The sequence below is a fragment of the Homo sapiens genome, chromosome 1 (assembly GCF_000001405.40).
Source record: "Homo sapiens chromosome 1, GRCh38.p14 Primary Assembly".
Taxonomy (NCBI): domain Eukaryota; kingdom Metazoa; phylum Chordata; class Mammalia; order Primates; family Hominidae; genus Homo; species Homo sapiens.
Genome location: NC_000001.11, coordinates 174,299,668 through 174,316,189, shown reverse-complemented (window position 1 = coordinate 174,316,189; position 16,522 = coordinate 174,299,668). Strand labels below are relative to the sequence as shown.

At 36.8% G+C, this 16,522-nt stretch overlaps 1 protein-coding gene across 12 annotated transcripts in view, besides 1 other annotated feature; it reads right to left on the bottom strand.

Moving 5' to 3' along the window:
• The window catches only part of RABGAP1L (RAB GTPase activating protein 1 like), an 835,789-nt gene that overhangs the window by 679,119 nt on the left and 140,148 nt on the right, over nucleotides 1–16,522 (bottom strand). For all 12 annotated transcript variants that reach the window (NR_158982.1, XM_011510223.3, XM_047436028.1 and 9 more), the window contains one exon: nucleotides 11,063–11,204. Coding sequence is in view for 11 of the 12 variants with exons in the window: in XM_011510223.3 (XP_011508525.1) it covers nucleotides 11,063–11,204 (142 nt within the window). In the remaining variant the exon portion in view is untranslated. The remainder of the gene's footprint in view (nucleotides 1–11,062; nucleotides 11,205–16,522) is intronic.
• Nucleotides 13,593–13,793: a silencer, noted in NCBI's record as "peak467 fragment used in MPRA reporter construct". NCBI's record gives its function as "represses an SCP1 promoter by STARR-seq MPRAs in K562 erythroleukemia cells {active_cell/tissue: K562}" and the evidence as "EXISTENCE:reporter gene assay evidence [ECO:0000049][PMID:32103011]".

Here is a 16,522-nt window from a genome sequence, read left to right as displayed (position 1 = left end):
TTCAAAATAACTGTGTTCAGAAAAATCAAAGAAATTCAAGATAACACAAAGAAGGAATTCACAAATCTATCATAGAAATATAACAGAGATTGAAATAATTTTTTCAGATTAAGCAGAAACGCTGGAGCTGAAAAATGCAATTGGAGCTAAGGAACAGATCAGAGTCCTTTAATAGCAAAATTGATGAGGCAGAAGAAAGAATTAGTGAGCCTAAAGGCAGGTTATATGAAAATACAGTCAGAGAAGCCAAAAAGAAAAAGAATAAGAAACAATGAAGCATGCCTACAGGATCTTTAAAAAGGCTCAAAGGTGCGAATCTAAGCATTATTGGCCTTAAAGAGGAGGTAGAGAAAGAGATAGGGTAGAAAATGTATTGAAATGGATTCCCAAACCTAGAGAAAGATACCAATATTCAAGTACAAGAAGGTTATAGAACACCAAGCACATTTAACCCAAAGAAGACTATGTCAAGGCATTTGATAATCAAACTCCCAAAGGCTAAGGATAAAGAAAAGATCCTACAGCATGGGCAACATGGCAAAACCATGTCTCAAAAAAAAAAAAAAAGGCAAGAAATGAAATCATAGCAACAGAGAAAATCATCTTCACTATAGAAAGACAGGAAGGGAAGAAAGAAGATCAGAAAACAAATTACAAAATGGCAGAAGTACATCCTCACTTAGAAATGATAACAATGAATGTAAATGGACTAAACTCTCCAATCAAAAGACACAGACTGGCTAAATGAATGAAAAAGCAAAACCCATTGATCTGTTGCCTACAAGAAACAAACTTCACCTACACGGACACATATAGACGGAGAATAAAGAGATGGAAAAAGATATTCCATGCCAACTGAAACAAGAAAACAAACAAAAAAGAGCAGGAATAGCTATACTTATAGTGGAAAAATAGACTTCAAGACAGAAAACTCTGAGAGACAAAGAAAGTCACCATATAATGATAAAGGGATCAATTCGGCAAAAAGATACAACAATTTTAAATATATCTGCCCTCAACACTGGAACATCAAGATATACAAAGCAAATATTATTAGAGCTAAAGAGAAAGATAAACCCCAACACAATAATACCTTCAAACCCCCACTGTGAGCACTGGACAGACCTTCTAGACAAAAAAATCAACAAAGAAACATCAGACTTAATCTGCATCATAGACCTAATGGACCTCATAGATATTTACAGAATATTTCATCCAATGGCTGCAGAATACATATTCTTTTCCTCAGAACACAGATGATTCTCAAGGACAGACCATATTTTAGGTCACAAAATAAGTTTTAAAACATTCCAAAAAAACTGAAATAATATCAAGCATCTTCTCGACCACAGTGGAATAAAACTAGAAATTGTTAAAAAGAGGAATTTTGGAAACTATACAAATACAGAGAAATTAAACAATACGCTCCTGAACGACCAGTGGGTCAATGAAGAAATTGAGAAGGAAATTGAAAAATTTCGTGAAATAAATGATTAAGGAAACACAACATACCGAAACCCAGCAAAAGCAGTACAAAGAGGGAAGTTTATAGCTATAACTGTCTACATCAAAAAAAGGAAGAACTTCAAATAAACCTTCTAATGATGCATCTTAAAAAAATGAGAAAAGCAGAAGCAAACCAAACCCAAAATTAGTTGAAGGAAAGAGCTAATAAAGATCAGAGAACAAATAAATTGAAACTTTAAAAAATGAACAATCAATGAAACAAACCACTGGTTTCTTGAAAAGTTCAACAAAATTGACAAACCTTTAGCCAGACTAAGAAAAAAAGCAAAAAGATACAGATAAATAAGATCAGAAAGGAAAACAGAGACATTATCACTGAGATGGCAGAAATTCAAAGGATCATCAGTGGTTACTATGCGCAACTGTATGCCAATGAATTGGAAAATCTAGAAGAATAGAACACATTCCTAGACACATACAACCTACCAAGATTGAACCATGAAGAAATCCAAGACCTGAATAGACTAATAACAAGTACTGAGATTGAAGCAATAATAAGAAGTCTCCCACTAAAGAAAAGCCCAGGAACCGATGACTTCACTGTTGAATTCTATCAAACATTTAAAGAACTAACACCAATCCAAATCGAACTACTGCAAAACAGAGGACGAGGGAACTCTTCCAAATGTCCAGACTCATTCTACAAGGCCAGTATTACCCTGATACCAAAACCAGACAAACGCATATCAAAAAAAAGAAAAGTATAGGCCAATATCTCTGATAAATACTCACGCAAAAATCATCAACAAAATACCAGCAAACAGAATTCAACAATACATTATAGAAAGATCATTCATGATGACCAATTGAGATTTATCCCTGGGATGCAGGGATGGTTCAAATCTATCAATGTGATACATCGTATCAACAGAATGAAGGAAAAAAACTATGATCATTTGAATTGATACTGAAAAAGCATTTGATAAAATTCCACATCCCTTCATGATTAAAAACCCTCAAAAAAGCTTGAGATAGAAGGAACATACCTCAACATAATAAAAGCCATATATGACAGACCAACAGCTAGTACCATACTGAATGGAGAAAAACTGAAAGCCTTTCCTCTAAGATCTGGAACACAACCAGGATGCCCACTATCACCACTGTTATTCAATATAGCACCAGAAGTCCTAGCTAGAGCACTGTTACCACTGTTAATCAACACAGTACTGCAAGTCCTAGCTAGAGCAATGAGACAGGACAAAGATATAAAGGGCATCCAAATTGGAAAGAAAGAAGTCAAATTATCCTTTTTTGCAGATGACATAATCTTATATTTGGAAAACCCTAAAGGCTCCACCACAAAACTATTAAAACTCATCAACAAATTCAATAAAGTTACAGGATACCAAATTACAATACAAAAATTGGTAGCATTTACATATGCCAATTGTCAACAACGTGGAAAAGAATTTTTAAAAAATAATCCCATTTATGGCCAGGTGTGGTGGTGGCTCATGCCTGTAATCCCAGCACTTTGGGAGGCCGAGGCGGGCAGATCACAAGGTCAGATCAAGACCATCCTGCCTAGCACGGTGAAACCTCGTCTCTACTAAAACTACAAAAAATTAGCCAGGCGTGGTGGTGGGCACCTGTAGTCCCAGCTACTCGGGAGGCTGAGGCAGTTCAAGAATCACAACTGACTTCAAACTATACTACAGAGCTATAGTAACCAAAACAGCATGGGACTGGCATAAAAACAGACACATAGACCAATGGAACTGAAGAGAGAACCCAGAAATAAATCCATACGTCTACAGTGAAATATTTTTTGACAAAGGTGCCAAAAACAGACATTGGAGAAAGAACAGTCTCTTCAATAAATGGTTCTGGGAAAACTGAATATCCATATCCAGAAGGATGAAACTAATCCCCTCTCACCATATACAAAAATCAAAACAAAACGGATTAAAGACTCAAGTATAAGACCTCAAACTATAAAACTACTATAAGAAACACTGGGGAAAATCTCCAGGACATTGGTCTAGGCAAAAATTTCATGGGTAATACCCTACAAACACAGGCACCCAAAGCAAACATGAACAAATGAGACCGTATCAAGTTAGAAAGCTTCTGCACAGCAAAGGATGCAATTAACAAAGTGAAGAGATAACTCACAGGATGGGAGAAAATATTTGTAAACTACCTATCTGACAAGGGATTAATAACCAGAAAATATAAGGAACAGCTCAAACATCTCTGTAGGAAAAAAATCGAATAATCTGATTAACACACGGGCAAAAGATTTGAATAGACATTTCTCAAGAAAAAAAAAGACATACAAATGGCAAACAGGCATATGAAAAGATGCTCAACATCTTTGATCATCAGGGAAATGCAAATCAAAACTACAATGAGATATCATCTCACCCCAGTTAAAATAGCTTACATCCAAAAGGCAGGCAATCACAAATGCTAGTGATGTAGAGATAAAAGAACCCTTGTACACTGTTGGTGGAAATGTAAATTAGTACAACCACTATATAGAACAGTTTGGAGGTTCCTCAAAAAACTAAAAATTAAGCTACCATATGATCCAGCAATCCCACTGCTGGGTATATTTCCAACAAGAAAGGAAATCAGTGTAGCAAAAAGATATGTGTACTCCTGTGTTTGTTGCAACACTGTTTACAATCACTAAGATTTGGAAGCAACCCAAGTGTCCATCAACAGATAAATGGATAAAGAAAATGTGATACTTACATGCAACGGAGGACTATTCAATCATAAAAAAGAATAAGATCCAGTCATCTGTCAGCTGGGCATGGTGGCTCATGCCTGTAATCCCAGCACTTTGAGAGGCCAAGGTGGGTGGATCACCTGAGGTCAGGAGTTTGAGACAAGCCTGGCCAACACGGCGAAACCCTGTCTCTACTAAAATACAAAAAATTAGCCAGGCATGGTGCTGGACACCCATAATCCCAGCTACTCAGAAGGCTGAGGCAAGAGAATCGCTTGAACCCAAGAGGCGGAGGTTGCAGTGAGCTGAGATCGCACCACTGCACTCCAGCCTGGGCAACAAGAGTGAAACTCCATCTCAAAAAAATAAAAATAAAGATCCAGTCATTTGCAACAACATGGATTGAACTGGAGATCATTATGTTAAGTGAAATAAGCCAGGCACAGAAAGACAAACATTGTATGTTCTCACTTATTTGTGGAATCTAAAAATCAAAACAATTGAAGTCATGGACACAGAGAGTAGAAGGATGATGATACGGTTAGGCTTTGCATCCCCCACCCAAATCTCATCTTGAATTGTAGTCCCCAGTTGTTGAGGGACAGACCTAGTAGAAGGTGACTGGATCATGGGGGCAGTTTCCCCCATACTATTCTCATGATAGTGAATGAATTCTCATGACATCTGATGGTTTTATAAGGGGGCTCTTCCCTTTTCTCTCTCTCACTCTCTCTCCTGCCGCCTTGTGAAGAAAGTACCTGCTTCCCTTTCCGCCATGATTGTAAATTTCCTGAGGCCTCCCCAGCCATGCAAAACTGTGAGTCAATTAAACCTCCTTTGTTTATAAATTACCCAATCTTGGGTAGTACCCTTACAGCAGTGTGAGAACAGACTAATACAGATGGTTACCAGGGGCTGGGAATAGTAGTGATGGGTTGCAGGGGGAGGCGGGGATGGTTAATAGGTACAAAAAAAATTGAAAGAATGAATAAGACCTAGTATTTGACAGCACACAGGATGACTATAGTCAATAATAACTTAATTGTACAATTTAAAATAACTTAAAAATATAACTGGATTGTGTGTAACTCAAAGAGTTATATGAGAGAATGAGTATGAGAGAATATGAGTATGAGAGAATACTCTCAAAGAGTATGAGAGAATAAATACTCCATTCTCCATGATGTGCTTATTTCACACTGCATTCTTTACCAAAATACCTCATGTACCCCATAAATATATACACCTACTATGTGTCCACAAAAAATAAAATTAAAAAAATTCAGAGACAAAGAAGGTGATTATATAATAAAAAGGTCAATTCAGCAAGAGACTATAACAATTGTAAATATATGCACTCAACATCAAAGTACCTATATATAAAGCAGACATTAATAGATCTGAAGAGATATTCTGCAATACAAAAAACAGTAAGAGATTTCAACAACCCACTTTCAGCAATGGACAGATCATCCAGACAGAATATCAATAAAGGAACATCAGACTTAATGTACACTCTAGACTAAATAATATATAAGACATTCCATCTAACAACTGCACAATATACATTCTCCTCAACTGTGTATGAAACATTCTCTAGAACAGATCATATGTTAGGCCACAAAACAAGTCTTAACAAATTTAAGAAGACTGAAATAGTATCAAGTATCTTTTTCAACCACAATAGTATAAAACAACAAATTAATAACAGAAAAAGCTTCGGAAAATTCACAAATACATGGAAATTAAACAATATGCTCCTGAACACCAAGGAGACATTTCAACTGATACAACAGAAATACAAAGAATCATAAAATACTGTTATAGACCGTTATATTCAAACAGTTAAACAACCTAGAAGACATGAATAATTCCTTGACACATACAACCTACCAAGATTGAATTATCAAGAAATAGAAAATCTGAACAAACCAATAATGAGTAATAACACTGGATCAGTAATAAACAGTCTCCCAGCAAAAAAAGGAAGCTCAGGACCTGATGGCTCCATCGCTGAATTCTAACAAAGACTGAAAGATGAATTAATACCAACTGTTCTCAAACTTTTCCAAAAATTTCAAGAGAACAGAGTAATTCCAATCTCATTTTATGAGGCCAGCATTACACTAATATCAAAGCCAGACACAGACAAGGATACTACAAAAAATGAAAACTACAGGCCAATATTTCTGAAGAACACAGATGCAAAAAACCTCAACAGAACACTAGAATACCAAACACAACAGCACATTAAAAAGATTATTCATCATGATCAAGTGGGATTCATCCAGGAGATGCAAGAATGAGTTAACATATGCAAATCTGTAAATGTAATGCATCACATGAACAGAATGAAGGATAAAAATCACATGATAATTTCAACTAATACAGAAGAAGCATTTGACACAATTCAACATCCTTTCATGTGAAAAACTCTCAACATATTAAGTATAGAAGGGATATACCTGGATAAAATAAGGCCATATATGTCAAACCCATAGCTAACATTATACTGAATGGGGAAAGGCTAAAAGCTTTTCCTCTAAGATTCAGAACAAGACAAGGATGCCTATTCTTGCCACTTCTATTCAAAATAGTAATGAGTCCTGGCCAAAGCAATTAGGCAAGAGAAAGAAATAAAAGGTATACAAATTGGAGAAGAAATCAAATTGTCCTGGTTTGCAGATGACATTATCTTATTTATAGCAAACCCTAAACACTCCATCGAAAAACTGTTAGAATTAATACATAAATTCAGTAAAGTTGCAGGATACAAAAATCAGTAGAATTCCTACAGAGTAACAGCAAACTATCTGAAAACTAATTTTTTAAACCCCATTTAAATCCCATTAGCTACAAAAGATAAATACTTAGAAATAAATTTAACCCATGAGGTGAAAGATCTCTCCACTGAAAACTATAAGACATTGATGACAGAAATTTAAGAAGATACAAATAAGTGGAGTGATATACTGTGTACATGGATTGGAAGAATTAATATGTTTAAATGTCTATACTACTCAAAGAAATCTACAGATCACAACACAATCCCTAACAAAATTCCAATGACATTCTTCACAGTAATAGAAAAAAAAATCCTAAGATTCATATAGAGCCACAAAGGATCCCAAATAGGTGAAGCAATCTTGAGCAAAAAGATCAAAGCTGGAAGCATTACACTATCTGACTTCAAAATCTAGTGCAATGCTAAAGTAACCAAAACAACATGAGATCAGCATAAAAACAGACATATAGACCAATGGGATAAACAGAACAGAAATAATTCCATGTATTTAGAGCCAACTGGCATTCAACAAAGGTGCCAAGAACATACAATGGGGAAAGAACAGTCTCTTCAAATAAATGGTTTTGGAAAAACTGGATATCCACAACATGCAGAAGAATGAAATTAGAGATTAGACTTTTATCTCACACCACCATACATAAAAATAAACTAAAAATGGATTAAAGACTTAAATTAAACTACTAGAAGAAAACAAAGGGGAGCAGCTCCATGACACTGGTTTGGGCAATGATTTTTTGGATAAAACCCCAAAAGCAAAAGGAACAAAAGCAAAAATAGATAAATGGGATTACATCAAACTAAAAAACATCTGCAAAACAAAGGAAACAATCAACAGTATGAAAGGGCAACCTACAGAATGAGAGAAAGTATTTCGCAAATCACACATCTCATAACATATATGCATATATGTATATGTGTGTGTATATATACAGATATGTATACAGCCTGTATACATATACACATACATATGTAAATACACATATATATGTGAATTTTGCACAACTCAATAGCAAAAAGAAAAAAAAATTTAAATGGACAGGGGACCTAAATAGACATTTCTCAAAAGAAGACATGCAAATGACTAACAGGTATATGCAAAGGTACTCAACATCACTAATCATAAGGGAAATGGAAATCACAACTACAATGAGATATCATCTCACACCCATTAAAACGGCTATTACCAAAAAGCAAAAGTAAGTGTTTCCAAGGATGTGGAGAAAAGGGAACCCTTGAACACTATTGGTAGATATACAAATTGGTACAACCACTATGAAAAACACTATGGTGGTTCCTCAAAAAATTAAAAATAGAACTACCATATAATCTAGCAATCCTACTACTGCATATATATCCAAAGGAAATGAACCAGTATGTCAAAGGGACAGCTGCACTCCCATGTGTACTGCAGCATTATTCACAATAGCCAAAATATGGAACCAACCAGTGTCCACTGAAAGATGAATGGATAAACAAAATGTGCTTTATCTAAACAATTATTATTCAGTCATAAAATGGAATGAAATACTGACACCTGCTATATCATGTATCAATGTAGATGAAACAATATGCTCAGAAAACACTGTGCTAAGTGAAAGAAGCCAGACACAAAAAGTCACATTTTGTATGATTCCATTTATATGAATTATGCAAAATAGGTAAAGCCATAGAGATAGAAAGCAGATTAGTGGCTGCCAGGGGGAAGGGAAAGGGGAGAACAGAGAGTGACTGCTTAATAGGTATAATATTTCCTCTTGGATGACGAAAATGTTTAAGAACTAGATAGAGGTGATGGTTGCCCAAAATTGTGAATGTACTAAAATGCCACTGAGTTGTACATGTTTAAGTTTTCATGTTATTTTCATGTTATGTGAATTTTACCTTAGTTTTAAAAGTGAGCTGTTCTCATGTTTTAGTCAACTGACTAACTTGACCGAATAATGTCATAGTTACAAGTACAAATCTTAAAGTCAGATAGCCTGGACTCAGATCTCAGCTTTGTCACTTTAAGCTGAGTGAGCTTAGCAAGTGATGATGCTCTCTGTGTCTCAGTTTCTCATCCTTAAAACCAAGTTAATAAGAGTATTCATGGGATTGTAAGACTCAAATAAGTTAACATATTTGAAATACTTGGAATGTTCTTAGCATATAGTAAGCACTAAATAAATATTAGCTAAAAATAATTATTATGTTTATGGCAATCATAGAAAAAAACAGTTTCATACAGAAGCAAGACTGAGAATTCTAAGATGCTTTTTTCAAAGATAATAAAAATTAAGAAATTTACTATTAATAAACCATACCCTAGAAGCACATGATACAAGGTCTTAAAAGTAAACATCTGTCATTTAGCTCTAGTTTGTATAAAAAGAGTATTGAGCACAGAGCCATATGATATGTGCTTTTTGTGAGGTCAGTTATTGCTCAGCAGCAACCATGTAGTAAATAGAGCAGATACCCCACTATTTCCAAAAAAAAGCAGTGGTAAGGGGTACAGCAACAAAAAAAAACAAGAATTGAATGATGTCAAATGAGAAACAGGACATGACGTAACAATCATGAAAATTCTAAAGTCACAGGAGATCATTTGAAACTTCTCATAAGATACTTCAAGAAGATATTTCTGCAGCCAACAGACACATGAAAAAATGCTCATCATCACTGGCCATCAGAGAAATGCAAATCAAAACCACAATGAGATACCATCTCACACCAGTTAGAATGGCGATCGTTAAAAAGTCAGGAAACAACAGGTGCTGGAGAGGATGTGGAGAAATAGGAACACTTTTACACTGTTGGTGGCACTGTAAACTAGTTCAACCATTGTGGAAGACAGTGTGGTGATTCCTCAAGGATCTAGAACTAGAAATACCATTTGACCCAGCCATCCAATTACTGGGTATATACCCAAAGGATTATAAATCATGCTGCTATAAAGACACGTGCACACGTACGTTTATTGCAGCACTACTCACAATAGCAAAGACTTGGAACCAACCCAAATGTCCAACAATGATAGACTGGATTACGAAAATGTGGCACATATACACCACGGAATACTATGCAGCCATAAAAAATGATGAGTTCATGTCCTTTGTAGGGACATGGATGAAGCTGGAAACCATCATTCTCAGCAAACTATTGCAAGGGCAAAAAACCAAACACCGCATGTTCTCACTCATAGGTGAGAAGTGAACAATGAGAACACTTGGACACAGGAAGGGAACATCACACACTGCGGCCTGTTATAGGGTGGGAGGAGGGGGGAGGGATAGCATTAGGAGAGATACCTAATATAAATGACGAGTTAATGGGTGCAGCACACCAACATGGCACATGTATACATATGTAACAAACCTGCACGTTGTGCACATGTACCCTAGAACTTAAAGTATTAAAAATATATATATATATGCAAAGAATAAAATAGAAAAAATAAAATAGAAAAAAAAGGCTATAATTACAACTAAAAAATTTAAAAAATTAATTGAGGGCAGGTGCAGTGGCTCACGCCTGTAATCCCAGCACTTTGGTAGGCTGAGGCGGGCAGATTACTTGAGGTCAGGAGTTTGAGACAAGCCTGGCCAACATGGCGAAACCCCATCTCTACTAAAAATACAAAAAAAAGTAGCCAAGCATGGTGGCGCACACCTGTATCTGGCTACTCAGGAGGCTGAGGCAGGAGAATTGTTTGAACCCGGGAGGCAGAGGTTGCAGGGAGCCGAGATTTTCCACTGCACTCCAACCTGGGTGACAGGGGAGACTCTATCTCAAGAAAATAAAAAATAAAAATAATTGAAATAAAATAGAAAACAACAGCAGCCAAGTGATGCTGTCAAATTTAAATAGTTGCAAAAGTGGCACTGGAGACTATGCAACTTAGGAACCAAATGAACCAAATTCTTTTCTGCACCTTGTAGAATTTGGCCTAATGGTAACAGAGGTTAGGAATAACCACCACTTCTACCCACAACACACACACCTCCTCTGAAGATTGTAAGTAAAGCAGCTATACAGACAGAATAAACTGAGTAAGTCCAACTTCTTACCCTCTTCTGCTTCATCATCCTGGGGTGACATTGGACCCCCTCCACTAGTAGGAGTGACTGGTTCCTCCTTGTCAGACTCTCGCTGTAGACTCACCACCTCATATATTGCATCTCCAGCATTGGTATGGCCTTTTCCCTCAGACTGAGAAAAATATAACAGTATATTTAAGTATTAGAAATCTGAAGGAAACATTGAAAGATAGTATTTAAATAATGCATTCAAAAGAGCTGCAATGAAGAATGGCGTGTTGTGTTTGATCTACAGCATGTCTGAGGTTCTGAAAACTTTTAAGGTGCACTGTCCTTCACAGGATATTCTAAATTTATGTTCCTCTAGTATTATTTTTAACTAATATGATGAAACCTACTAATTATTTTTGGAGAACTCAATTTCTTTTCATCAGAAAAACCTGAGACACCAGAGGTTCTAGGACAGACAGATAAGCAAGTGATGCTAGACTCTTAACTGACTACCTTACACGAACCTAAAGTATATAGCTCAAAGAATTTTTACAACTGTATACAGTTGGGGAACCACATGCATACCAATATGCCTTCCTATATTATACCCATCCCTGATAGGTAGCCACAGATATAGTTGTTATATTTTTTGTTAAAGATATATTTGCTATATGTATAAAAATATATATGTGGGTTACATATATAAATATATATGGATTTAATTTGCTAATCAAATTATAAATTATATATATTAGCAAATCGAATCATTTTATACATATACATAAAACAATTTCAAATAAATATATATTCAAATATATTTCAAATCAAATATATATAAACCAAATTACAAATTTTATACATATACACATACAAAATACATCACAACCAATAGGATTTAGTTGGGGAATGCCAAGCTGGTTCAACATTGGAAAAATCAATCAGCATAATCCACTATATTAATAGACTAAAGAAGAAAGACCTTATGTTCATATCAATTAATGTCATAATCAAAATAAAGGGCATTTGAGAAAATTCAGCATTCATTCATGTTAAAAATGCTCAGTAAACAAGTAATACAAGCACGTTTCCTCAACCTGATAAAGAGTATCTAAGAAAAATCTACAAGTAACACTATGTTTAAAGGTAAAAGGCTGAATAATTTCCCCCTGAGATGGAGAAAGAAGGAAGAAAGTCCACTGTCACCACTCTCATTCAACATCCCATGGAAGCCCTGTCCAGTGCATTACGGCAAGAAAAAGTATACAGATTGGAAATAAAACTGTTCTTATTTACAAACAATATAACTGTCTTTCTCAGAAGTTGACAAATGTTTTGTATAAACAACTCAACTCTGATGTTGTAGTACAAAATTGTACAATAGTGGTAAAATATTTCATCTGCACTTAGTTTCCTATACAAGCAGAATCTGAACTACTTTGATCTCATATAGAATCTAAATATTGCACCTAAAAACTGAGTTTCAAATAAGTGTATTTTTATTAAAATACACTACTTGTTCCCAATATTCACATATTTTAGATAACTAAAAAATCAATCTGTATTTGTAAAGAAAATTGCCTGGTTCATATTAGCATTCATTACAGCTTAGCAACATGTAAACAGGAGCTCAATAAATGTGCGTTGGCTAAGTCACATTACAAAGATTCATCACATTTATGCAAATAAATTCTAAAACCTTTTTCAATATGGCATGCCATCATCAAATATTAAATACAAAGTACAATATGCTGATATCTCTATAAATTCTCTAAAGTTACAAGTCTCAACAGTGGCTATAAATGAGGAAACCAGACCTGAGGCTTTTTATATTTTAAACACTAATGCCTAATCCTTAGGGCAGGATTTAGGAATCTGGATTTTTTTTTTTAAGGTTCACAAGTTAATCTGATGCAAAGCTGAATTGAGAACCATTGCCTACAAGACCTGTTATTTTCAACAAGAATGTCTATATAAAACATGTAACAGAATCAAATATTCTCACTAAGCTACAGATACATTAAATCACATGAAAAAAAATACATGTCCAAGCAGCTTCTATTTACCTCTGCAGAGGTGACACTAAAGAACGCCAATGCTAATCAGAAGCACTAAGTTAAAAAAAAAAAGAAAATGCCCCCAACAGATATTTTCTCACAACTTTATAAGTACTCCACAACCTTGTTAATTTTCATCTTTCTGCAGTTAGAATAGTTATTCTTATTATTTGGTTACTTTTGGTTATTTACTGACTGATCATACTTTGATTTAAGTAGGTTTAAACCAACATGCATCTTCAAATAGGAATTTTCCTTTTATGCTTTTTAACTTTAATAGTTGATTAAAAGTTTTGTCTCCAACTTAAAGGAATGTCAAGGCACTCAAAAGCAAAGAAGATATTTGGAGGAGAGGGCAAGAAAACATTTGATATTTTAATATCAAACCTACACTTAGCACAGATCAAAAAAGTAGCTTACTTCCCTGTATCGAAAGTCAAGTCATAGAAACTTCTGAGAACAGCTAACTCCTGTCCTGACCTGAAGCCTATCCTTTTCTTATGGGCAAGCCTCTTCTCTCCAAACTATCTCTTGCCTGAAAATAAAAAACAGGAAGTTGGCATGTGGAAAACAGATTTATCAAGAGAAAAGTTTCTGCTCCTCCTTAACTCTTCACCTGAAGTACCATTTCATGTCTTTTTACCATTATGGCTCCTCTCAATTCATTCTAACTTTCCTTCCTCTCTTGTTTCTTGAGACCTCTCTCTTTTCTGAATCCAAATTCTGTCCCAAGCCAGACACAAAAAGCAAGTAAAGTATTTAGAAAAATGCTCAGTACACAGTAATAACAAGTGTTATTTCTTGTTATCATTTTGTGCTGTTGATGTAACACTATGAGGCATGAGAGAGTCTAACCTATAGTACAATATGCAAGTAATGTTCAGGAATAATGAAGCAGCAAAAGTGGCTTCTGTGTCCTAATCTACCACTACTCTGGAAATCCTGAAAAAATAATTACTATGGTAATAACAATAAGGATAGCAAGAATTCAATCCTAACAACAATCCAAGCTTGTCCGTATCTTAGAACTTTTACATTAGCTGATCCTTTGAAAAGTCTTTCCCTGGATCTTTATATTGACAGTGGCAGGAGGCAGACAAATCCTAGGCAGACAGGGGCAGGTCCCCAGTGAAACCCCACCTTCAAGCCAAAAGGCAGTTTAAAGCCTGAAAGACAAGTTACAAGTCAAATCCACCAACCGGACTGAGAATCTGTCTTCCCATTTGGCACACTTTCCTCTGATTGATCCCCAGCCTTCGCCTATTTTACATATACCTCCCCTTCCCTAATTAACATTTTACACTGTCATGCCCAACTTTGAGTGTTGCCTTTGTTTTAATCTTTTTGCATACTCACAAACCAATCAGCATACACTCCCCAATCTGAGCCCATAAAAGCCCTGGACCCAGCCACAATGGGAGAGAGGCCACCTGACTTTGGGTAGGGGACCACCCTTGTGTCCCCTCTCTGCTGAGATCTGTTTCATTGCTCAATTAAATTCTCCACCTTCCTCACTCTTCAATTCTCAGCGTGATCCTATTCTTCTTGGTCATGGGACAAGAACTCAGGACCCACTGAAACTGGGTACACAGAAGGCTGTAACATTGTGGCCCTCTGCCCTCTGCTGGCAGAGGGCAGCTGCCCCACACAACAGAAAGCAGCAATGGGGCTGAGCCAGGCCTGCAGCCACAGGCCAAACTGGGGCAAGGGGCTGAAAGAGTGGTTAACACACCGCCATCCATTCCAGATGGCGGTGTGTTAACAGCTCTTTCAGCCCCTTGAGCTAATTAGCATGCTGTAACACCCCCTCAGGGGCTTCGGAGTCACAGCACCCCTGCCTGGGTGCTGTGTCCTCTATCTGGACATCAGAGACCATCACAGGAGTGGGCTTGAGACATGCCTAGTCCAGCAACAAGCACTGCACAAAGCCTGCTTCTGTGTCAGCACTTGGAACAACTGGCCAGACCCCACACTTGCTTGCTCACACCCCACCTCCAACCAGAGGTTGAATACACAGTCACAGTGGCCGTGGGATCCATGACAAACTGCAGACCGGGCATGAACTGGCAGGCCAAGTGTGGGGCATCTCCTGTGATGAACCCAGGCCCAGCAAAACCCGGACAGGGGTGTTACCAACCAGAGGTCTCCGACTGGCAAAGTGACCAAGAAAAATCCTGTGTCACTATGGTGAGTTCCTTCTTGTCATTCAGTTCTCAGACATTGATTCATTCATTCATTCATTCATTTGAGATAGAGTCTCACTCTGTCACCCAGGCTGGAGTGCAGTGGCGCCACCTTGGCTCACTGAAACCTCTTCCTCCCAGGTTGAAGCAATTCTCTGCCTCAGCCTCCCAAGTAGCTATGATTACAGGCACCCACCACCATGCCTAGCTAATTTTTGTATTTTTAGTAGAGATGGGGTTTCACCCACCTTGGCCTCCCAAAGTGCTAGGAATACAGGCATAAGCCACCAGGCCTGGCTTCAAGTATTTTAAACCTTGAACATTTAACAGCCTTCCCAAAATCAAACTTCAGTTTCAAAACCGTGTTCCCTGGCACCTCACTTTTTTTTTTTTTTTTTTTGAGATGGAGTTTCACTCTTGTTACCCAGGGTGGAGTGCAATGGCACATTCTCGGCTCACTGCAACCTCCACCCCACCACCGAGTTCAAGGGATTCTCCTGCCTCAGCCTCCCAAGTAGCTGGGATTACAGGCATGCGCCACCACAACCTGCTAATTTTGTATTTTTAGTAGAGATGGAGTTTCTCCACGTTGGCCAGGCTGGTCTCAAACTCCCGACCTCAGGAGATTCACCAGCCTCGGCCTCCCAAAGTGCTGGGATTACAGGCATGAGCCACCACTCCCAGCCAGCACCTGGCTTTTCAAATACTTCAGGGGACCCTGAAGTGTCCAGAAAAAGAGAGGTAAACAGGATTATTTGACATGTTTAGGTATATGGGATTGCCAAAATGATGTTCTGTCTTCTTTAGGTTATATTTTTGTGAATAATGATAATATATGTTCAAAAATCATACGGGATTTCTAAAATTCTAATGTCTAAGTATATGCTGTCAACCATAATCAATGTTAAGTTATCATAAACCACAGAAATAACCACACTTATTTGTCAATTGTGTTTCTAACTGTAACCACCCTGGGTATTTTGCTACTCACAGACAATTGTTGTCTTATTTTAATCCTTTTCAAAAGATGGTTTATAATAAGCTATAGAACTTTAACAGTCGCTCTCAAACACAGACTTCTGATAACTTTGGAGACTGTAACATTTTAATAAAGGAAAATGTACAGGACTCATGAAGAGCTGAAATATTCATGAATATCAAGCAAAACAAGAGTTAACTAAATGCACTGAACTCAGAAAGCCAAAGCAACCTTTTTGACTTTTACTTGGAATACTGCTGATCCTTGCTTTGTTTTTCAGAGT